General features: G+C 39.9%; 1 protein-coding gene across 15 annotated transcripts in view; it reads right to left on the reverse strand.

Moving 5' to 3' along the window:
* Window positions 1-25,389, reverse strand: part of MAP3K19 (mitogen-activated protein kinase kinase kinase 19) — an 82,957-nt gene that overhangs the window by 35,570 nt on the left and 21,998 nt on the right. For 5 of the 15 annotated variants that reach the window (XM_017005006.3, XM_011511891.3, XM_017005007.2 and 2 more), the window contains exons 1-3: window positions 23,397-23,589; window positions 21,655-21,770; window positions 5,375-5,471 (exon numbers count right to left, since the gene is read on the reverse strand). In XM_017005006.3, the coding sequence (XP_016860495.1) occupies window positions 5,375-5,471; window positions 21,655-21,770; window positions 23,397-23,469 (286 nt within the window). In that variant the 5' untranslated portion in view covers window positions 23,470-23,589. Of the gene's footprint in view, window positions 1-5,374; window positions 5,472-7,628; window positions 7,786-9,511; window positions 9,580-21,654; window positions 21,771-23,396; window positions 23,590-24,565; window positions 24,682-25,389 lie in introns of those variants that run through there. The other 10 variants (NM_001018044.3, NM_001282883.2, NM_001018047.3 and 7 more) reach the window with 5 other exon arrangements.

Consider the following 25,389-nt stretch of genomic DNA (forward strand, 5'->3'; position numbering starts at 1 on the left):
CCAGCGGAAAGCGGGAGACGTACTTTATTTCTGTTTGGCTAATCTCTTCTTAATGATTACAAAATGGACATTAATCAGGAGCTGAGGTTTAGCCATCTTTGTATCTTTCCTGTTCAGGATATGATAGATCCTAAATAAATGCTTGCTTAAAGAGCAAAAAACCATATAATAATATTTTACAGATGTAAAATAAAGTTTTATAACAAACTATGTTGTCCTCAGGATGGAGAAAACAGAACCACCTTCTATAAAGTGTAACGACACCTATCTCCCAGAACTATTGTGAGCATTCAATGAGATAATTTATGTAACACCAAAGATGTTTGCTTGTATTTGTAATTTTGGTCATCTCCTGTCTCATTTCATGAACTAATTTCCAGAATAACCCTTAAGACAGAAAGTTCCAACTTATAGAATACGCGCTTGCTCACAATATAAGATGTTAAGCAAAATTATGTAAAAAACTAGTGTGAACTATTCTAACATTGCCTGTTCTTTAAGGTGTGTTCATTCATTCCTTTTTTCCATTTAACGAACTTTTATTAAGGATATGCCAAGCCCAGCACTTAGTGCTGAAAACAGGGAAATAAACAAGATGCAGCTGAGGCCCTAGTAGAGCTGATAAGAAAATAAAGAATGCAGTGAGATAAGCACTGTGATAGAAGCAAGTGGTGATGTGGGAGCAGAGAGGCGTGTCCTTCCGGGAGGACGCAATGCTTGCCCCGGTATTCATTTCTATCCATTTATCTGTCAGAGCCATTTATTCACTCAATCTGCTTGTGCCTGGAGGAGCAATGGCTGTATGAGCTCCACTAATTAAAGGCTGGGGAAGGAGTATCGCAGGGAGGATAAGGTTAAGGTGTGAATCAGACATCCCTTTTCTGCCACTACCTGGGTGACCTTGGGAAAGTTGCTTAATAGCTATCATCATTATCTAAATTAGTAGATTTTTATTATTTTAAAGGACTTTGGATATATTTGTGTAATACATAGGAACTACCATAGTGAAAGCATTTTTGTTGTTCAATTTTTATACCTGTGCCATTTAATGAAACAAGTGCATTAAAAAAAAAAACACAGTAAAAAATTCCAAAATGAAAAGTTTTGTTTACAATCAGGCAAATGATAATAGTGTTTACTATCATTGTTATCCAATATTATGTTTTGTGCTACCATAAAAATGTAGCTAGCTTTGGTTTTCTTAATGTTTCTCAAAGGAGACAACTTGATTGCATGTTTTCTAATACTATACAATTGCATGGAACACTTGTCTAAAAATGAAGTTTCCCTGGAATAGTCCATTGTTTTTTAAGTTTTCAAAGAGGCTATCACCAGACTATGTAGCAAAAAATGAGAGACTTGGAATTATTGAGCTGGAAGGAACTTAGAGGTCACCTAACCCAAGCCTTTCGTTTTAGAGACGAAGAAACTGATAGCAATGAGTTTGCATGACATGCTCAAGGTCGTTCTCCTATTTGAAAGGAAGATGGATGTCTTTCATAATATTTTTGTAGTTATCCTTGAGTGCAAACACCTAGCTGACATGTTAGAGTGAGAAAAACATACAGCATACATTCCTAAAAACTAAACTGTCAGTGAAAAGGATGTTCTGGTACAAAAGCTAAATGTATTTAGTTCTTTGCTGTGGAAGTTAGAAAACTGAGTGTATTCACATGAACCATATTTAAGAACAACTGTACTTTTGCAGTTGTCAAGAATTAATAAACCCAGAATGTTTTCAAACAAATGTAATGTGCTTCAAAGTCTGTTCATCAGCTGACTTCTTTTTCAAACCAAGAAACAAAGATATAACAAGCACATGTAAGAAATACCTGCCTTTTAAGATATTGTTAAGAGCTAATGGCCACCGTCCTAATTGTTGGTCCTAAATTGGAAAAAAGATTACAGAATATTGATTCTGAAATCCACTAGAAACATACAGATGTTCTCTTTGTTCTGCCTCTTGAATACTGTGAGTTGCTGACGTTGCTGTGGATAAGGCCTCTCAAGCTACCCAGTAGGCCAGGGAAGAGGATGCATTGTCACAGGTAAAGACAAAACACTTGCTCTTAGCAAGTGCATTTTTCACATAATGAGGGTAAATTAACGCTATCAGAAAATATTACCATAGAGAGAAATTAAAAGACAACATTTCAACATAGCCACGAATATATTTTCTTTATAGAAGAGGTGAAAATGACATTCATAACCAGTCAGAAAAATGATCATTAATTTGTTGTTGTTAGTGTCAAAACCATTATTAAAACAAAAACTTAAAATCAGGCCCAGCTTAACTGATTTCAATAAAGAAAAATTATTTTCTCCAGAAAAGCCTTACTTTCCTGTTTGGTCTCCTTATTTTATTTTATTTTATTTTATTTTATTTGTTAAATTTCCGTGGGTACATAATAGGAGCATATATCAATGAGGTCCTTGTTCTATTTCAATGGATGTGCATATCTGTCTGGATTGCGAGCATGGAGGTTCAAAATATTTTGATGCCATCTTCACATTTTGATGATTTCCTAAATTGTGAAGCTCAACACAGACTTTAAAAAAAAAAAACAGCTGTATTTCCGGCTTCCTGCGCTGCTAGATTCAGAAAGCTTACTTCAGAGACTGATGCATGTGAGTTACATGAAAAAAGATAAGGTGCAGGCATGCTGTGTGCTGATGTGGGTACCAGCAGAGGGAGGGGGTTCTTACATTGATAGTGGGAGCGGCTCTCTGGTTATGGCAGACGTGGCATGATTTGAGGGTCAGTAGCAGCCAGTTTTGAAATGCAGTTATGGGAATCCTTCCTGACAATCCAACCTGGGGCCTTCCTGTTATGGACTGGATGTTCTGAATGTTTGTGTCCCCCACCGCACATTAATATGTTGAAGCCCTAACCCCCAAGTGTGGCTTATTTGGAGATGGGGCCTCTAAGGAAGAAACGAAGGTTACATGAGGTGTCAAGGGTGGGGCCCCGATCCAGCTGGATTTGTGTCCTTCTAAGAAGAGAGCTCACTCACTTGTGCTCTGCCTCTGTGTGCACAGAGGAAAGACCACGTGGGGACAGACCAGCCATCTGCAACCAGGAAGAGAGCCCTCACCAGAAACCCATCCCTGCTAGAATCTTGATCTTGGACTTCCCATTCTTAAGAACTGTGAGAAAATAAATGTCTGCTATTTAAGCCCCCCAGTCTATGGTATTTTGTTTTGGCAGCATGAGTGGACTAAGAAAGTTCCTCTCCTCTGGTTTTTCAATGGTATATGAACTTCCTAATATCTTTCAAAATTCCCTTCCTTTTTAACCCAACCAAGAGTAGGTTCTTGTATACCTGCAACTACAAATCCTGATGAATTTATACTGAATTAAAATATTTTTAAGCCCATTAGTTTTAGGGAATAGGCTCTCTTGTTCACTCATGAAAACAGTAAATTTGTAGGCTCAATTTCTAGTCTATAAGATTTGTGTCTGTTATGTTCTGAGAAAATAGTGTTTGTTTGTTTGTTTGTTTGTTTGTTTTGAGACGGAGCCTCACTCTGTCACCCAGGTTGGAGTGCAATGGTACAATCTCAGCTCACTGCAACCTCCGCCTCCCGGGTTCAAACGATTCTTCTGCCTCAGCCTCCCGAGTAGCTGGGATTACAGGTGCGCACCACCACACCCGGCTAATTTTGTATTTTTAGTAGAGACGGGGTTTCACCATGTTGTCCAGGCTGGTCTTGAACTCCTGACCTCAGGTGATCCGCCCACCTTGGCCTCCCAAAGTGCTGGGATTACAGGCGTGAGCCACAGTGCCCGGTCCATTTAAAGAGATTTAAACCGATATTTAAAATGAATATAATGGACAATAATATCTAAAACACTTTTATTTCAGAATTTCTGATTAGAAAGAGTAGCTAGCTCAACTGAAGTCTCTATCAACTGTGAGATGCAATTTTATCAGGAAGAGAATTGCTTCTTCCAAATGTGTAACTCAAGTTGTTAAAAGCTTAAAACTGAAATAACTTAGTGGAGATGCCTCATAAGTATTATGGCTCCCATATGAAAACTGAAAATATTGCAAATCAAGTTTAAAAGAATGACTAACATCCCAAATGGTGAGTTATCTCCATATGGAGCAGAATAAATGAAATATTTAACCTCCTGGAAGGTGCTTGGGACACCATTAGGCTTCTAAGAGCTTGGCTTTGAAGTCTATGAAAGTCGAAGGAGGACTGCAAGGACCGTTCTGAAGGGTTTCGGGGTTTATTTTCTTTCTGTTAGCTCTTTCAGGCTTAATGGTTTTCATAATTTTAATGGTTACTAAATTACTCTCGGCCCTCAGCCTGGGGAGGGAAGATTCCCAGTGGGCGTGAGAAAGGCAGGCGGCTGCCCAGGAGAGGGCAGCATCGCACCACCTCCCGGAGGAGACGCTACTCGGGAGAGCTGCAGCCTTCTGAGAGGTGCGAAGGGATGAGAAACACGGGCATCAAAGAGGGCGGCTTCCCTGGAGTGCTAGAAATAGAAGCCAGAAGATTGCCCGGGAGAAATTGCAGCAGTTCAAATAAACATTTACTTTAAGAAGGTTATGGATGAATAGATGACAGACAAATGGGATAGCCGTGGCAACTATGCTCTGAGGCGAGAATCTGCAAATACCTTGTGGTCTGTTAAGTGCAAGGGCACTTACGGTGTGACAGGATAACATGTTTGAAATGGGTGGTGTTCTGGAAGATTCCAGACTTATGGCCTTGTAAATAAAAGACCGAGACTTGGGGACTTTCAGGTCTCGTACACTCCCCCACCTTCCCCTCAGGGACAACGGCTCATGGAGACACGTGTGGTTCCGGAAGGGAACCGATCACTGAAGCCGCTGGAAGATTCTGAGAGGAAGAAATTGGGGAAAGGATGTTATCAGACAAAAAGAAATGGACAGGGAATGGGTCGGCTGAGCTGGAGTGAGGTGGAATAAAAGAGCCAGAGAGCATTTGCCTATTCTGGCCAGTCAAGCTGCCTAGACCCACTGATTCAGATATGGACCAAAAGGTAGTATTGTGAGTGGTTTTTCTTCTCCTTTGGGCTTTTTCTGTGTTTTCAAACTTATTTATTATAATTTTTTTAACTTTTATTGCAAGAGTTAAGCTCAGGGGTACAAGTGCAGGTTTGTTCCATAGGTAAACATGTATCATGGGGTTTGTTGTACAAATTATTTTATCACCCAGGTATTAAGCCTAGTACCCATTAATTATTTTTCCTGATCCTCTCCCTCCTCCACTCCCTCTACCCTCTGATAGGCTCCAGTGTATGTTGTTCAAACTTCTACAATAAGCCCTTCTGAAATTGGAGAGAAGCCCATATGATAATGTTATCTTTGTAAACACATCAAGGAGTAAAGCCCAGTACCTTCTGTCCTGGGTTGCCAGTCCTGTCTACCACCACTGGGATCTTCTTCTTCATTAACCAGTGTGGAATGACTGCAGTCACCATCTTGGTCGAACTCCTGCAATATCATAAAATTCAAAACTCAGTTATTAGTTATTCGATGTACCAGTTTGTTGGCAGAGTGAATGTTGATTTTTCTGGGCTAAAGATTTACACCATGGATTCCTTTTAAATTGGATAAAGTATTTAGGACTAAAATAATAAGAAAGTATCTGCCCTTGGAGCACTAGGCTCAGACAGTCATGGTTGTGATTAATTGCATAATCAAAAATGAGGAGCAAAGCTGAAATCACATCGACACATAGAAACTCAGTATTTTATACTTTATCATCTCAGTGCCCAGGCTGCTAAGCTGCCCCAAATTCCATCTGGGTAGGTAACTGGAAAGAATCCTTTGGCCACAGTCACAGTGAACAACCCCAAAGGAGCATGATCTTTTCCATAATGCCTCCCTGGGGCATCATTTACATATGGCAAGAATGGAAATCCCTGCCCCTGTGGAAGCTACAGATATAACCCTAGACTGAAAGGAGGCAGCAAAGCTGATTAAAGTCTTCCCTATGACGGCGTTCTGATCTAAATCATGGTGCATAACCTCTTAAACTTCCTTTTCACTCTCTAGAAAATAATCATTATAGTTGAAAACCAACTTGATTTACAAAAAGTACTCCAAACATTTTAAAGAAGAAATGTTTTCTTAGTAGAATTCATTGTTTTTGATAGTTTCCTTCATTCGAAGTTATAGCTGATGATTTTGTGCCTTTAAATTTCTAGAACCATGATAGATCCAAGTAATAGTTAAAACATCCCATCACAACCCGAATGTTACAACTATCTGTCTGGTTTCTATGATCTAGGTGGACTACCTATTTAAGGGGACTGATGGACAATAAGTCTTTGCCCTAAGTGCTCAAGCCTGTCATCTGAAATGTCAGAGAAGTGGCGAGTCACAAAAATTCTCTGATAGCTCATTTATTAATTCCCAAGAGAGCTAGGAAATTTCTTGCTTTTCTCTCCTTGTTCATTTTAATTGTCGTAGCAAATAATAAAAGTTGGCCAGGCATGGTGGTTCACTCCTGTAATCCCAGCACTTTGGGAGGCTGAGGCGGGTGGATCACTTGAGCTCAGGAGTTCGAGACCAGCCTGGGCAACATGGCAAAACCCTGTCTCTACTGAAAATACAAAAATTAGCTGGACGTGATGGCACACCCCTGTTGTCCCAGCTACTTGGCAGGCTGAGGCAGGAGGATGGCTTGAACCCGGGAGGTCAAGGCTATGGTGAGCTAGGGTCACGCCACTGCACTCCAGCCTGGGTGACAGAGTGAGACCCTGTCAAAAGAAAGAAAAGAAAAGAGAGAGAGAAAGAGAGAGAGAGAAAAAAGAAAAGAAGAAGAAAAGAAAAAGGAAATAAAAGTAAAACCTGGCCAGGCATGGTGAGTCACACCTATAATCCTAGCACTTTGGGAGGCCGAGATGGGTGGATTGCTTGAGGCCAGCCTGGACAACATGGTGAAGCCCCATCTCTACAAAAAATACAAAAATTAGCCAGGCATGGTGGCACGTGCCTGTAGTCCCAACTACTCAGGAGGCTGAGGTGCGAGGATCATTTGAGCCATAGGAGGTTGAGGCTGCAGTGAGCCATGATTGCACCACTGCACTCCAGCCTGGGCAACTGAGTGAGACCCTGTCTCAAAAAAAAAAACCAGAAGTAAAACCCTCCATTTATACAGTCATTAAAAATATTTTAGGTATTCAATCATAATAACTTAGTTGTCATACCTTACTTTTATTCAGCAGTTTATACTTAAACATTGTTTTTTAATTTTTATGGGTACATAGGTATATATATTTATGGGATACAGGAGATATTTTGATATAGGCATGCAATGCATAATAATGACATCAGGGTAAATGGAGTATTCATCACATCAAGCATTTATCCTTTGTGTTACAAATGATTCAATTATACTTTTAGTTATTTTTAAACGTACAATTAAATTATTACTATAGTCACCCTGTTGTGCTATCAGTACTAGTTCTTACTCTTTCTTTTCCTTTTTTTTTCTTTTTGTTCTCTCATTGGGTTGATTATTCATTCTTTCTAGCTATTTTTTTTTGTACCCATTAACCATCCCCCTTCCTCCCTACTCCCCACTACCCTTATTAATACTTTCTAAAGCGTTTTCTATCTCCTGGCAAAAGTTGGGTGCCCTACCTCAGACTATCCTGGTTGTCAATGGCGGATGGGTTCACTCAGCTCCTAGGCTGTTGTCAATTTCACTGCTTAACCTTCTCTGTATTTCAAAAATTCTACCATTATCTGGCAAATTCCTCCTCCTTCCTATCAAATCACAAAGGGGGATTTATTCTTCCTAGAACATACAAAAATACAAAAAAGTATTTTTTAAAGCAAAATTTAAAAAATCACCTATAACCTGACAACCAAAGAGCAAACACTGTTAACACAGGAATCATATTTTCTTTGTGTTTCTCTTAAGTATTTAAAAATATAGTTGCATCACATAATTTTTGTATCTGGCTTTTTCACTTAAGTGTAAATTCATAAGCAATTTACTAAGTAAGTGTCATTTTAATTTTAATGGAATTTAAAATTTCTTTCCTTCAACAAATATCAGAGGGTCATAACAGTACTTCTTTTTTTTTTTTGAGATGGAGTCTTGCTCTGTCGCCCAGGCTGGAGTGCAGTGGTGCGACCTCAGCTCACTGCAACCTCCACCTCCCGGGTTCAAGAGATTCTCCTGTCTCAACCTCTCGAGTAGCTGAGACTACAGGCACCCGCCACCATGCCCGCCTTATTTTTGTATTTTTAGTAGAGACGAGGTTTCACCATGCTGGCCAGGCTGGTCTCAAACTTCTGACCTCGTGATCTGCCTGCCTCGGCCTCCCAAAGTGCTGGGATTACAGGCGTGAGCCACCACGCTCAGCCAATAGTACTTCTTTAATAAGCCCCGTTAGTCTTACAATGTAACTCCCATGATGCTTAGTAGGTAATTTAAAATTCTTCACTCTTACACATAGTATTATTAAATATTTGCAACTAATACCCCAATTTTGCATTATTTCTTTAGAGTAGATCCCTAGATATGGAATTATTGACCCAAATACTATGAAAAAGTTGTTTTTTTGTACACACATTGCCTTAAAAGTAAAGTTTATCCCTATTTATAATCCACCAGCAGTGCATGAATGTGCTATATCATATCTTCTCCCTTATCATCATTCCTTTTCATTTAATTAATTAATTAATTATTATTGTTTTCCCTTCTTTTCACAGGTGTTTATATGATTATTGTTATTATTTTGAGGCAGTGTCTCACTCTGGCACACAGGCTGGAATGCAGTGGCACTATCATGGCTCACTGCAGCCTTGAACTCCTGGGCTCAGGTGATCCTCCCACCTCAGCCTCCTGAGTAGCTGGAACTATAAGTATGTACCACCATGCCCTGCCCCTTTTCATTTTATTTTTTATTTTTTGAGACAGAGTCTTGCTCTGTTGCCCAGGCTGGAGTGCTGTGGTGCAATCTCGGCTCACTGCAAACTCCACCTTCCAGGTTCAAGCGATTCTCCTGCCTTAGCCTCCCAAGTAGCTGGGGTTACAGGTGCCCACCACCATGCCTGGCTAATTTTTTTTTTTTTTTTTTGTATTTTTAGTAGAGATGGCGTTTCAATATGTTTACCAGGCTGGTCTCGATCTCCTGATCTCAAGTAATCCACCTCCCTCTGCCTCCCAAAGAGCTGGGATTACAGGCACCTGCCACCACGTCTGGCCGACTTTTCATTTTATTATATTTAATGTAATAGATGGAATTGGTCTTCTTATTATTGTTTGAATGTTCATACTTTGATTAATAGAAAAGTTGGAGATAGTTTTAGATGCTTATGGGTCATTTGAATTTTTCTTTTTTAGTATTATATATAGTTTTTGTGTAGATCCTTAGTCTAGAACACTCTAAGAGACCTCAAAACACATTTCTACCATTTCATTTAATTACAGTGATTCAGTGAAATTTTTATGCTGAGCTTTGAGAAAACAGCAGCCTTCATTTGGAAGTGTTAGTCATACAGCAGGTTCTCACATCAAGTTTCCATGTTGATTACTGGGCTGTGGTCAATCTCAGCTACTCAGTTCATTTGTCAGTTGGTCCTGTAGGAAAAGTTGGAAGCCGGCAGTGTGGTCATACCCACCTACAAAATCCATAATGATGACTAGCATTTACATATATAGTACCAGACACTGTTCTATATGCGTTACACATATTAACCCATTTATCTCGGAGGTTGCAAATTTTTTTGTGTGAAAAATCAGACCTTGGCAATGACCTTGAGCAGTGGGATATAAATAACCCCCACAAGCTCACCGTTCCAATAATGGAACACTAAGCATAAATGGGTTAACTAATTTAATCCTCACAACTCTAAAGTTAGGATCTATTATCTTCATTTTGTACCTGAGGCCCAGAAAAGTTAAGTAGCTTACACGAGGTCACACAGCTAGCCAGTGGCAGAGCCAGAATTTACACCCAGACTGTGAAATCTGGGTCCAGAGGTTGTGACCACTCAGTGATCTTGTTAGCATGAAAAGTTTGAAACAATGAATTTCAACAAGAACCAGAAAAAAAAAAAGAATTAATGAGCAAAATAAAGGGAAAGGATACTCAAACCTAATTGATAAGTTTTGCATAGAAAAAATAATAATAAAAGATGTGTGATCCCTATAAGTACCTGACAAAAATTTAAACCCTGGAACAAACTGAAAAACCATAAGTATCACAATCAAAAAGGATGTAGGGAGTAAGATCTACTTTGAAGGTGATGACGGAAGTGAAGACTCAAACAGAAACAGCTCAGAATTTTCTAACTTATTTTATAAATCTAACCAGCAATGACTTTAAGATGTGCTTGGGTGCCACAAGGAGGAGAATTGAAATAGTGTCATCTAGGAGTGAGTAAAAGAGAGAAAACATCAGAATAGCAAGTCCCAAACATAGATGGATTTCATAAACCATTGACAACACCACGGGAGCTGATAGATGGATAAGAAATAGAGCATCGCATTCTAGCCTGCAGACAACAGCATACCAAACATACAGAATGTAAAGGCACGATGGAAATCAGACGTGATTAAAGTTTTTTTATTTTTATATTTTAGAGACATGGGAGCTCACTCTGTCGCCGAGGCTGGAATGCAGCAGCACAATTATAGTTCACTGCAGCCTCAAACTCCTGTGTTCAAGTGGTTCTCCCACCTCAGCCTCCAGGAAGTAACTGGAACTACAGAGGCACGCCCCCATAACCAGCTAATTTTTTAATTTTTTTGTAGAGACAAAGTCTTATTATGTTGCCCAGGGGTGTCTCGAATGCCTGGACTCAAGGGATCTTCCCACTTCAGCCTCCCCAAGTGCCGAGATCACAGACATGAGCCACCATATCCAGCCTATGATAAAATTTTGAAAGAAGATTCTCCTCAGGTGAAAAAAGATGACTGGGCGAGTCTATAACGAGCCTCTCTGGAGCTGTCCTACATGCAAGGCAGCTGCTTATATTTGTAAACTATAAAAACCTATTTCAGACAACCAAAAAGAAAACAAAGCTTTCATTTAAAGAAAAGAGTGAAAGGGATTTAAACCCCAGTTAAACCACTAGGGAAGGAAAGGCAAATATAATACTGAAAAAGTCCATTTCTCCCTCAAAAAGGAGTTTAAACTTTATTTCGGCTACAATAAGAAAAAACACCTAATGAAAGGTTTTTAAAAAAAGTTTTGCCAGGCGCGGTGGCTCACGCCTGTTATCCCAGCACTTTTGGAGGCCAAGGCGGGTGGATCACGAGGTCAGGAGATCGAGACCATCCTGGCTAACACGGAGAAACCCCGTCTCTACTAAAAATACAAAAAATTAGCCAGGCGTAGTGGCGGGCCCCTGCAGTCCCAGCTACTCGGGAAGCTGAGGCAGGAGAATGGCGTGAACCCGGGAGGCGGAGCTTGCAGTGAGCCGAGATCGCGCCACTGTACTCCAGCCTGGGCGACAGAGCGAGACTCTGTCTCAAAAAAAAAAAAAAAAAAGTCTTAAAGTTGCCTCAAAAAATGTACTGATCAGGCACGGTGGCTCACACCTGTAATTCCTGCACTTTAGGAGACAGAAGTGGGAGAATCTCTTGAGACTAAGAGTTTGATGTTGTTTGTTTGTTTGTTTGTTTGTTTGTTTTTTAGAAACAGACTCTCCCTCTGTCATCCTGGCTGGAGTGCAGTGGTGTGATCATAGCTCACTGTAACTTTGAACTCCTGGGCTTGAATGATCCTGTTGCCTCAGCCTCCCAAGTAGTTGGTTCTACAGGTGCATGCCACCACACCTGGCTGAGGCCAGGAGTTTGAGACCAGCCTGGGCAACATAGTGAGACCCCATCTCTACAAAAATGTTTTTAAACATTTATTTCAATGTATTAATATGAAGTGATATAGTTAGTCCTTTTAAAAAGAAAATTGCTTAAATAGACCATAAAAATAAAAAGTATGTTTTTGTTTATCAATATCTTATGCATGACACTCACCTTAAAGATTTGTCTCTAGGTATTTTATTTTGATTACTATATAATATTAGTAACCAAACACAGTGCAACCTTCAATATTGTGACAACATGTAGCAAATTTCTCAGTCTCTGCACTGTTGACATTCAAGACCAGATAATTCTTGGCTGTGGGGGCTGTCGTGTGTCTGATAGGATGTTTAGGAGCGTCCCTGGCTTGTACCCACAAGATGCCAGTTGCATTCTCCCCTAGTGATGATACCAGAAATGTCTGCAAACATTGTCAAATGACCCCCTAGGGTGGGAGGGGTGGGAGGTGGGCGCTGGGAATCACTCCCTTGTTGGGAACCAGGGTACTAAATTCCACTTTGGTAGGAAGCAGACTAAACTACTTAGAAAATTTATAAATGCGCAAAGCTAAAATATTCAAATAGGATTTAAAAAGGAATGTTTCCATGGTAGCTCATCCCATCCCATGTCCCAGAGAAGTCTTGATTTAACCGTTTATTTTTAATTTTCACTTAATTTTTATCAAAATTAAACTGCACATGTAAAAAAAATCAAATAATGGTAAAAGACTTATACCGAGAAAAACAGTCACCGTTTTCCTCAGAGGCAACCACTTCCAAACTTTTAGCTGTTTCTTTTGGTATTTTCTTCCGTATTTCTGCATAGTTATCATGCTGTCTCTTGATTCATCAAAGTGAGGCATCATCTATTGACTTATTATGGCAGTTAATAATTTAATGTTCTTATGCCCTGCCTCCATCCTCCCAATACATTTACCTTCTTTGCTGTTAAATCAATAGTCAATGGCTAATTTTGATTATGAGGATATTGTACTATGTAGTAGTACAATTGTAATATAGTATGATTATGCTTTCTTTCTTGTATAACTGTTTTATTTTCCAGAACAAACCCCCAAACCCTTGTTTGTTTGTTTGTTTGTTTGTATGTTTGTTTGAATAGACTTTATTTTTAGGGACATTTTAAGTTCACAGAGAAATTAAGAGGAAGGTATAGGCCGGGCACAGTGGCTCTCGCCTGTAATCCTAACACTTTGGGAGGCCAAGGTGGATGGATCTCCTAAGGTCAAGGGTTTGAGACCAGCCTGGTCAACATGGTGAAACCCTGTCTCTACTAAAAATACAAAAATTAGCCAGACATGGTGGTGCATGCCTGTAACCCCAGTTACTCAGGAAGCTGAGGCAGAAGAATCACTTGAACCCAGGAGGTGAAGGTTGCAGTGAGCCAAGATCGCGCTCCAGCCTGGGCGACAGAGTAAGAGTCCGTCCCAAAAAAAAAAAAAAGAAGAAGAAGAAGAAGAACAAGGTATAGGGATTTCCCATATACCCCCTGCTCCCATACATGCACAGCCTCACCCATTATTAACATCGCCCTCCAGAGTGGTACATTTGTTACAGTTGTCTGTAGTTAACATTAAGGTTCACTCCTGGTGTTGTACATTCTATGGGTTTGAACAAATGTATAATGACCTGTATCCACCATTATAGAATCATACAGAGTAGTTTCAGTGCCCTAAAAATCTTCTTTGCTCTGCCTATTCATCCTTCCTTCCCCTCATCCCTTGGTTTTTTAATTTCTAGTTGGTTTATTTTATTTACTTTCTTATGTCCTTTTATTTAAAGCCTAAATCTTCCCAACCTACAATGGTCTTGCCACTTGGTGAAATTTATCAGACAACAATATCTGTTCTGTTTCCCTCCTCTGTCCTGCTCCCTGCCCCCACCCCAATCCCCCAATCATCTGAGCTCTTTGTTTTCTAGAGTTGCTAATTAGCTGAAGTCCTGGGACCTGCCTTCTTCATTATACCAATGATTCCCTCCTCTCTCTTGATCCTCTGAGTCACAGATCCTATTTTTTCCTCTTTCTTTATTTACTTTTTCAATTTAATAGAGCACTTAGTAGCTTCCTTAAAAGGTATATCAGAAGTAATATGTTTGAGATTTCTGTGTCTGAAAAATGTCTTTATTCAACTCTAATGCTTAACTGAGAGTTTGTTTGGGCATAGAATCCTAGTTTGAAAACCACATTCATTCGGGCCAGTGGTTCACATCTGTAATCCCAGCACTTTGGGAATCTGAGGTGGGCAGATCACTTCAGGCCAGGAGTTCGAGATCAGCCTGGGTGACATGGTGAAACCCCATCTCTACAAAAAAATGCAAAAATTAGCGGAGCCTGGTGGAGCATGCCTGTAATCCCAGCTACTTAGGAGGCTGAGGTGGGAGGTTTGCTGAAGCCTGGAAGGCGGAGGTTGCAGTAAGCTGTGATCATGCCACTGGCCACTGCACCCCAGCCTAGGTGACAGAGTGAGACCCTGTCTCCAAAAAAGAAGAAAAGAAAAAAAAAAGGCATGTTGTCCAGGCTCGTCTCAAACTCCTGGGCTCAAGTTATCCTCCCATCTCAGCCTCCTGAGTAGCTGGGACCACAGGTACAGGTATCCACAGCCATGCCTGGCTGAAAACCATATTCTTTTTTGTGTGTGTCAGATATTTGAAGACATTCCCTACTCCACCCCTTTTCCATTACTTTTGATTTTAGTATAGCATACATTCAGAAAAGTTCACTTACCATATGTGTATAGATTAATTTTAATAAACCCAATACATTTGTGTATCCAGGACCCAGATCAAATAAAAGAACACTACCAATATCCCCAAAGAACACTCTCATGCAAGTGCTATTCTGAATTCTAACACCATAGATTAGCTTTGTTATTCCTCCTTTTGTTTTTATATAAATAGACCCATACAGGATTTAATTTTTTATGTCTGGTTTCTTTTGCTCAACAGTGTATTTGTGAGATTCATCTGTATTTTTGCATGTAATTTTAGATCATTCACTCTCATTCTCATTTATGTGTAGTTTTACACTATGTGAATATACCACAATTTATGTATCCTTTCTATTCTTGATAGGCACTTGGGTATTTTCCATTTGGGGGCTATTATAATAGTGCTGCTATGATCATTATAATATGTAGCTTATGGTAAACATATGATGCATTTCTGTTAGGTATGTATTTAGGAGCAGAATTGCTGGATTATGGAGTATGCATATATTTCTCTTTAACAGACACCAAAAGACAGCTTTCTAAATTATTCTAACAGTTCATTCTCCCATCAGCAGTGCATGAAAGTTCTTGTTGCCCTACATCCTTGTCAACACTTGATATTTCCCAACTTGTAAAATTGTAATCATTCTGTGGATGTGCAGTGTTATCACATTGTTGTTTAAAATTACATTTATCTAATGACTAAAAGCTGAGCATCTTTTAATATATTTTGTTGGCCATTTAGACATCTTTTTTTTGCTAAGTGTCTGATCAAGTTTTTGCCCACTTTCTATTAGCCTATCTGTTCCTAATTTGTGGGAGTTTTTAAATTTTTTCTGAATGCAGGTCCTTTGTCAGATACATACATTTTAAGTATCTTTTCTCACCTTATGAGTTGCTTATTATTATCTTAATGATGTCTTTAGATAAAAAGAAATGCTTCATTTAATATAGCCCATTTAATTAACTTTTCTTTTATGGCAAGCATTTTTTGTGATGTGTGTTCTGTTGTAAAAATTGTTGGCCGGGCACAGTGGCTCATGCCTGTAATTCCAGCACTTTAGGAGGCCGAGGTGGGTGGATCACGAGGTCAGGAGATCAAGACCATCCTGGCCAACATAGTGAAACCCCATCTCTACTAAAAATACAAAAATTAGCCGGGCATGGTGGTGCATGCTTATAATCCCAGCAACTCGGGAGGCGGAGGCAGGAGAATCCCTTGAACCAGGGAGTTGGAGGTTGCAGTGAGCCGAGATTGCACCACAGCACTCTAGCCTGGCAACAGAGCGAGCCTCCATCTCAAAAAAAAAAAAAATATTTGTTGCCAGCTCCAAGGTCACAAAGATTTTCTTACATTTTCTTTCAAAAGGGTTAGTGTGGTCAGGCAAAATGGCTCACATCTATAATTCCAGCACTTTGGGAGGATGAGGCAGGGACATTGTTTGAAGCCAGGAGTTCAAGAACACCCTGGGCAACAAAGCAAGACCCCATCTCTACCAAAAACAAATTGAAAAAAATTATCCGGGAATGGTGGCATGTGCCTGCAGTCCCAGCTACTCAGGAGACTGAAGCAGGAGTTTTGCTTGGGCTCAGGAATGCTAGGCTGCAGTGATCTGTTCCAATCAATGTGGAATTGATTTTGTATATGGTGTGAGGTAGGGGTCAACATGCATATTGTTTTGTATATGACTATCCATGCAACCCAGAACCATGTATTGAAAATTCTTTCCCCTATTTCACTGCAGCATGAACTTTGTCATAAATCAGGTAATGGATTTATCTATATTTCTAGCAATATCACACTGCCTTAATTGATTTAGCTTTATAATAGGATGTGATATCTAGTAGTGTAAATCTTCCTACTTTGTTCTTCTTCAATATTGCCCTCAGTATTCTTGGCCTTTTGCCTTTCTATATGAATTTAGAATCAGCTTGTTAATTTACACACACACACAAACCTGCTAGGTTTTGATTGGGACTGTGTTGAATCTACAAACGAATTTGGCAGAATTGACATCTTTATAAAAGTAAATTTTCCAATCCACTAACATGTTACATCATTCTATTTATTTAAGTCTTCTTAAAATTTTCAGCAATATTTTACTACTTTCAGTGTAGAGGTCTTTTATTGCTCCATATATTTGTAGCTCCATATATTTGTAGCTTACAATGGTATTTTTAAGACATCTGGTGCCATTCCAGTTTCCTATCCTTTATATTATCTCTCTCTCTTTCTTTGAAAACTTTTAGGATTCTCTTGTAGCATCAGTGCTTTAAAAGTTCATAATACTTTAAGGTAATGTACTTAGTCACTGTCCTGCAATGATGGGTCTTGCAGTGATGGGTGCTTTAAACTTGAAAACTCATATCATTTGGTTCTGATAACATTTTTTTCTTTATTTTTCTCTCCTCCCTTTAAAACTATTTCTTCCCCTTCATTTCTTTGTGCTCCTGATGTCATCTGCATTCCTTGTTGTTTTGATGCTACTTTTCATATTGGAGGCTTTCCTCAAATACCTGATAACCCTTGGCTATCTTGGCTCTTCATATTAAGGAAGATAAAATATGACTCTAAAAATATGACTAGAAGTTCTCTATGTATATTGCTATTTACCTGTTGGTGGGCTTCGCTGGGTTAATCTGGTGAAATGCTTGTGTTTCAGGGAACTTAAAAATGTCAGTATCGGTAGGTTTATTTTCTGGGGTTATTAAATCTCCAGAAAAGAATCTTCCAGTCTTTTGGCTTAGTAGTATAAACGGGCTGCTGGCCATATGGGAGCTAGGTGGGGAAGGAGGATGGATGCAATCTCTCTGTCAATATTCAGACTTAAGCCTGCAGGTTGAGACCTGATTCCCATCTTTCACTTTGTATGTTGTTACTAAGTCCAGAATTCCTCCAGCTCAAATAATCCTCCACCAAATCTTCCTGCCTTCTGTGAGGGTGGGGAAGGAGTAGTGATGTAGTTACACAGAGTGGAAGTAGAATGTTGGGGATCTCTCTGCTCCTTATATACATTTTCAACCAAACCCTCCTGTTTTTCAACCTCATGCTAACTCCCAACGTCTGCAGTACCTGGTGCCTCTAATTCCTGGGCTTTTCCATGGTTCTTTGCAGTACATCATCTTGATTCTCATTAATATCCTTTCTCTGGAAATTAGGTTTTACCATTCTCCATGCTGCAAAATCATTTCTCACTTCTCTATCCACTTTCTGACATTTTATATTGTGACTTGGGTTTAGCAATGTATCCTACCATGTTTCACTAAATCTAAGATGTCCTTGATTAAAAGCTACACTGTTGTTTTATGTACCACTAAAAATGACAAAACGGTACCAATTTGACAGTGACAATTTTAAGATGTCTGACTTCAAAGAGGTTAAAATGCAAAGTACACATCTTAGAATTGATAGTAGTTTAGGCCGGGTACGGTGGCTCATGCCTGTAATCCCAGCACTCTGGGAGGCCGAGGCAGGCAGATCACCTCAGGTCGAGAGTTCAAGACCAGCCTGACCAACATAGAGAAACCCCGTCTCTACTAAAAATACAAAATTAGCCGGGCATGGTGGCCCATGCCTGTAATCCCAGCTACTCCAGAGGCTGAGTTAGGACAATCACTTGAACCCGGGCAGCGGAGGTTGTGGTGAGCCGAGATCGAGCCATTCCACTCCAGCAGCCTTGGCAACAACAGCAAAAAAAAAAAAAAAAAAAAAAAGAATTGATAGTAGTTTAATTGAAGAAAGAAGCTCAACATATATATTTTTTTAAGGGATTGGGCCTCTTGTTGGCCAGGCTGGAGCATAGTGGCATGGTCTTGGCTCACTGAGGCCTCAATTTCCTGGGCTCAAGCAATTATCCTGCCTCAGCCTCCTGAGTAGCTAGGACTACAGGTATACACCACCATGCCCAGCTAATTTTTAAAAGTTCTTGTAGAGACAGCTCTTGCTATGTTGTTCAAGCTGGTTTCAAACTCTTGCCCCCACAAAGTGATCCTACTGTCTTGGCTTCCCAAAGTGCTGGGAGTACAGGCATAAGCCACTGCACCTGGACCAGATCTTTTTTCTTTTTCTTTTTCTTTCTTTCTTTTTTTACAAAGATGTGAAAGTAAATCAGTGGAGGAAGTATGGTCTTTTCAACAAATGATAGAGGAACAACAGGCAAAAATACGTACCTCGACCTAAACCTTGTACTTTGTAAAAATTAACTCAAATTCCGCTGGGCGTGGCGGCTCACACTTATAACCCCAACACTTTGGGAAACCAAGGCAGGCAGATCACCTGAGCTCAGGAATGCGAGACTAGCCTGGCCAACATGGTGAAACCCCATCTCTACTAAAAATACAAAAATTAGCCAGGCGTGGTGGTGGGCACCTTTAATCCCAGCTACTCAGGAGGCAGAGACGGGAAAATTGCTTGGGAGGCAGAGGTTGCAGTGAGCAGAGATCGTGCCACTGCACTCCAGCCTGGGTGACAGAAGTGAGACTCCATCTCAAAAAAAAAGAAAAAAAAAAGCTCTAATTGGATTATGACTCTAAATGTAAAATGTGAAACTATAAATCTTTTAGAAGACAGCATAGGATAAAATTGTGTCCTGGGCTTCGGTGAACAATTCCTAGTCACAAAAATCATGATCCATAAAGAAAAAAATGGATGTTGTTTTTTATCAAAATTTAAAACTTCTTTTTAATAAAACATTAAAAGGATGAAAAAAAGTCAAATTATTTTCTTGACTAGGAGAAAATATTTTATGAAGCATATACCTAGAATATATAAAGGCTTCTCTAAACCTATCAGTTAGAAAGCAAATAATCCAATTAGAAAATGGCAATGGTGGCTCATGCCTGTAATCCCACTACTTTAGGAGGCCGAGGCAGGAGGATTGCTTGAGGCTAGGAGTTCAAAAAATTTTTTAAATTAGCTGGGTGTGGTGGCATGTGCCTGCAGTCCCAGCTAGTCAGGAGGCTGAGGTAGGAGGATTGCTTGAGCCTGGGAGATTGAGGCTCCAGTGAGCCATGTTTATGCCAGGGCACTTCGGCCTGGGCAACAGAATGAGACCCAATCTCAAAATAAATAAAAAATTTTTTGGACTTTTTTTTTTAACCAATAAAATATAGAGTAGTAGGATCTTTATTTGGGATATGTTAATTTTTATAAACATTCAAAAGGTACAAATGAGTAAACAGTGCAAATTGCATCTCCAGTTCTCTCTCTGTAGGCAATCACTGTTGCCAGTTTGTTGTACATCTTGGGTCTCATTCCACGGTTTTCTATGGGCTGCAATGCTTGTTACTAATACTGTTACTGTACTATAGGGGACTTTTTGTAAAGTCATTCATCATAGACAGAATGATAACCAGGGCCACGAGGAGGCACCTCCTTTTTGGTACCCTGTGATGGGTTTGATATGATCAGATTAATGATCTCCTTTTCTTTTCCTTTTTTTTTTGAAATGGAGTTTCGCTCTTATTGCCCAGGCTGGAGTGCAATGGCACAATCTTGGCTCACTGCAACCTCTGCCTCCCTGGTTCAAGCGATCCTCCTGCCTCAGCCTCCTGAGTAGCTGGGATTACAGGTGCCCACCACCAAGCCTGGCTAATTTTTTGTATTTTTAGTAGAGATGGGCTTTCACCGTGTTGGCCAGGTTGGTCTTGAACTCCTGACCTCAGGCGATCCACCTGCCTTGGCCTCCCAAAGTGCTGGGATTACTGGCGTGAGCCACCGTGCCTGTCTCTTTCTTTTTTAAAAAATTGAGACAGGGTCTTGCTCTGTCACCCAGGCTAGAGTTCACTGGTGCAATCATAGCTCACTGAGGCCTGAAACTCCTGGGCTCAAGTGATTCTTCCACCTCAGCCTCCCAAGTAGCTGCGACTACAGGCGTGTGCCATCATGACCAGCTAATTTTTTTTATTTTTAGTAGAGATGAGGTCTCTTTTTGTTACCCATGCCAGTCCAGAACTCCTGGCCTCAACAGATCTTCAGCCTCACAAACTGCTGGAATTACAGGTGTGATATGATTTGGCTCTGTGTTCCCCAGCAAATCTAATCTTGAATTGTAATCCCCACATGTCAAGGGAGGGACTTTGTAGAAGGTGATTGGATCATGGGGGCGGTTTCCCCCATACTGTTCTTGTGATAGTGGGGGAGTTCTCACAAGATCTGATGGTTTTAAAAGTGGCAGTTTCCCCTGCACTCTCTCTGTCTCTCCTACCACCTTGTGAAGATGTGCCTGCTTCCCCTTTGCCTCCCACCATGATTGTAAGTTTCCTGGGGCCTCCCCAGCCATGTGGAACTCTGAGTCAATTAAACCTCTTTTGTTTATAAATTACCCAGTCTCAGGTAGTATCTATAGCAGTGTGAAATGGACTAATACAAGGTGTGGACCACCACGGCTAGCCTAGACTTCCTTTTCAATATTAATGTACATAAAAAGGAAGGTACATTTGATTATTTAGTATGGATTCAGCTGAAACAATATTCTGTGGTACTGGAGACACATAGACACACACACACAGGCACGCTCACCCAGAGTAAAGAACTGAATATTTGTGTCCCACCAAAATTTATATGTTGAAATCTTAACTACCAATGTGATGGCAAGTAGGAGGTAGGGCCTTTGGGAGGTAGATTATGAAAGTAGAGTCCTCATGATGGGATTAGTGCCTCTTATAAAAGGGACCCCAGAGCACTAGCTAGCTCTCTGTCCATCAAGTGAGCATATGAGAGGTTGGCAATCTGCAGTCCAGAAGACAGCCCTCACCAGACTCAAACCTGCTGGCACCCTGATCTCAGACTTCCAGGACTGTAAGAAATAAATTTCTGTTTATAAGCTACCCAATCTATGGTACTTTGTTATAGCAGCCAGAACTGACTAAGACACACACACATACACACACACACACACACACACACGTGTACACACACATCTTATGCATGAGTCTCAGAGTTTACTAGCTAATTACTGCTCTGAGATTAAACTTTCAGAAGAGTGTCTTACCAAATATGCTTTTTTATGATTACACTTAAAAATAAAATTGTAATATATGAGTGTTATGAAGTATTCAAGCAACACAAATAAAGTAGTAGATGGAGTAGGCTGTCCGTTGTTTCTTTAAAGGGAGGCTCTTACCTCACTTCTGCTGATGCTTTGCAAGATGATGTTTTGATTTTTGGTAACTGTCATCAAATCAGTTGGAGAAGAGTTTGTATCATGACAAATGTCAAGCAATGACTCAGCATGTCTTTCTATCAAAAGAAACATAATAGTATGTTTTGATAAGATTCATCTCCAGCAATTTCAAAAGAAGATCTAGCTCTATGTTCTAAAATCAGCTCCATTTTGTCAAAGATTTTCCTGAAATAGTGGTCTGGGATCCTGATGAAGCTTCAAGCACTAATTTTCACAAGAAGAGATGTGAAGACAAGAGTCCACGGAGTGGATGGCTTACTATTTTTTTTTAAGGCTTTGATGGTAACTGCTATTACATAAGGACAAAAAAATCAAACAGGTAGTTTGAGATTTTGAGCAAGTGAAATATTTTTTAGAGAGTTAGGATGAATCGATCATCCTATCTGATCTGAGCACCCACCAAATTTTAAGCTGTATGAGAAATTAAAACTTAACAAGAGTCAGATTTTAGTTCAGCTTAAATCTAGTCACTTCATACTTAATGTCTACGTCGTCATTGCAAAACCCTCTGTAGGGTGCTGGGACATGAGTAAGAACTTTTTAACCATTAAAGCCATCAGCAGTTCAAGGTTAGGGAATCCTCTTCTCCAGAGCTGCGCAGAGGAAGGACATCTGTCTTCCATGTTTCCTGAGGATGACCCATCATTACAGACTTCTACTGGTGGAAGATTAGGAGATGCTTCTTGGCCTCTTCCAACTAAACCCTGAAAAACTACCATGTATTTTTCAGGGTACTGAAGACTTATTGCTGGCTCAATCGATACTGTATTTTCTTTCTCTGAATCTGTGCACTGCCCTGAAGCCCCTGAAGTTATTTCTTGGGAATTGAGGATAATTTCTGCACAATTTGGCTAACAACTGAAATCAAAGCAACACAGGGCCTTACAGACCATCCTATAATTTAAAAAATTTAGATCGCTCAAACTTTCTTCTTTAGTTTGTAGAAGGGAGTGATCATGAAGTTAAATTAATAGCGATCAACAGTTATCACTTCAAATGTTTGGGATTAATGGTTTGTGGTAGGCAAAGTTGCTAAGTGAAACCCTAATGATAAGCTGGAAATCACATTTGCTCTATAGTTGCCCAGGACAAAGACACTCAGCTCCTCTGAACACACTTCCTATCTAGTGATTAAAGCCACATTAAATGGACAGAGTTCCTAACACCAAACAGCAGACTCCCAGTTTGTACCCTAGGGACATTGCTCTCATATGTATCCCCTCCTGCTATCCTGGCTTCTTCTAATAAGCATTGGCTTCTTTCAACAAAAACTCCCCCTCTTTCAGTGGCTCCTCCATTTATCTTGTAGTGGAAACAAAATTGAACAAGTGATCTATACCCAGACTTTCCATTTCTTCATCATATTTTCCTTCTTTACTCTCTGCAATCTATCTTCTGCCTACATCCTGCCATTGAAACGTCTCACATCCTTACCACATCTGCTTTGTAATCTCTTTTCCAATTTAACATTGTTTCCTGCTCCTTTCTTCCCGCAACTCTCTTCTGATTCTCCTCCTCCTCTCACTTCCTGAGTCCTGATGTCCCCACCGCTCCTCTCTATCTGCGGGTGCACCTCCTCGGCTCAGCCCTCTGCAATTTTCTCACTCTCATCAGTCCCTCAATGACCTCACCCACCATCATGTCCTCACAATCTCCTCTCTGTAGAGAACTCCCAAACTAACCTTTCAACCGGTCCTTTCCCACAAGCCCAGTCCTACAGAAACTTGCTACTTGAAAGTTCCAATGTGCTCCCATTTTGTTGGTTGTATTTCCATCTCCTGCACTTTCCAGGCCTTAAAATTTAGTCATCTTTGACTCAAGTTTCTCAGCGGTTGTCTCTGTGTCTCCGCTGTCAACATCACATCTCGCAGTTCTGTGAATTGTTCTTTCACAATGTCTCCTAGACCCACCACTCCCAGCATCTCTTAGGCTCACTCTCACACCCCACCCAAGGACACATTCCCTAGTTCTTACCACCATACATATGGGCACTTCTATAATTTCTTAATAGAGATCCCTGCCTTTTCCCTCAGATGTAGCCAACACGATAGGAACAGGTTAATATTCCTAAAACATGGCCTTCATCATTCTCTGGCTTAAAATTCTTTAGTGTCTGTTTTATTGAAAAAAAAAAGTGATGTCCTTCAGCCTGACATCTAAGGCTCTCCCCTCCATGGGCCCAGTTTCTTTATGTATCTGACCTTCTGTTTCTCTTTTCCCTGACATGAACTTTCAGTTCTAGTTTCTTGTTTGCCCCTGGGATAAGCTATGCTCACTCCCAGCAAGGGGCCTCTGCTCCACAAAATCAAATTGCATCCTTTTTTCAAAGGTCAGATCAAGTCTCACCTCTTTCATGAAACCTTCTTAGGTATAGCTTTGTCCTCTGCCCCCGAAGCTTCAAACAGAAAGCGAATCAAACAATAAAGTCAGGCAGCTTTCACAAAGTCACACGCTGCTCAGTGGCACACTTTTCATTATACTTCTTGCTGTGGCTGTTTCTTTGTCTTTGTTTGGACTCTTTTCCTACCTATATCAAACCTTCCCACTGTTATCCAGCCTTCAAGAACCACTATAAGTCCCTCTTCCCCTTTCAAGTTTACAGCAAGCTCTCTCTGACTTATGTGATGTGCCCCTGACCATGCTGTATATTTTCAAAAGTTTAAACCTTGCGTTAGACTTCTTTGCATCCCCCAGAGCACCTAGTCGTGGGCCTTGTACAGAGTCACTGCTCCATAAATAGCCGTGGACTTGATTTCTTTAAATGGATCCATCAAACAGATGTAGAAAAAGAAAGAGATCTAACAGGAATTTTTGGGTTGGGAAATTATGCATGTGGAGTGAAAGTATTTACCTGGTTTTGGCATAGAACTCATTAAAATGTCCAAAAGCTGCTGTTTCTTTGAACTCTCTATTTGTGACACATAATGTATTGCTGATTTTCCACTAAAATCACAAAGTTTAGGATCTCTAGGAAGAACAGAATCAACATTAAAGTTTATTTAGTTGAATCTGTTGAAAAAAGAAAACTAATATGAGAGGGAAACATTTACATCAAATAAATAAAAAGTAATCTTATGTAGTTTGGGGATAATAATAATGATTTCAAAATGTGTGAATAGAGGATGACAATTTTACAAGATTTTAAATAAAAGGAATTTGCTGTGTATCTTTATTCCCATCCCCATTCTAAAAACATTCTGAGGTTTGCAGAGAATTCCCAACTTTGGACAAAAATTTTTATAATTCTTTAAGGGTACATAAAATCAAGTAAAGATAAAAACATCTTTTGTTGTTTTTTTTTATATTTTTAAATTTTTTTCAATGAGTCATAAGGATTAAAACATTTTGATAAATGATTGTCTTATCATTCCAAATAGCTCACTTGATTTTTTTCTTTTCAATAATTAAGCTAACTGCTGACTTTTTTGATATTTCTTTTTTCTAATGCTAACAGCTAGCTCTTTTATGATTCAAAATGGTGGAATGGCATAGAATCTTCTCTTTAAAATTAAGCTGATACTTTTATTTCATGGTCTCTTGGATGAGTGGAGCAATCTTGTCATAAAAACCAAAGTGTGCCTCTCCACATGGCCTTTTCTTTTCTTTTTTTTTTTTTTTTTTTTTTTTTTGAGGCGGAGTCTTGCTCTGTCACCCAGGCTGGAGTGCAGTGGCGCG

The sequence above is a fragment of the Homo sapiens genome, chromosome 2, assembly GCF_000001405.40.
Source record: "Homo sapiens chromosome 2, GRCh38.p14 Primary Assembly".
Classification (NCBI taxonomy): domain Eukaryota; kingdom Metazoa; phylum Chordata; class Mammalia; order Primates; family Hominidae; genus Homo; species Homo sapiens.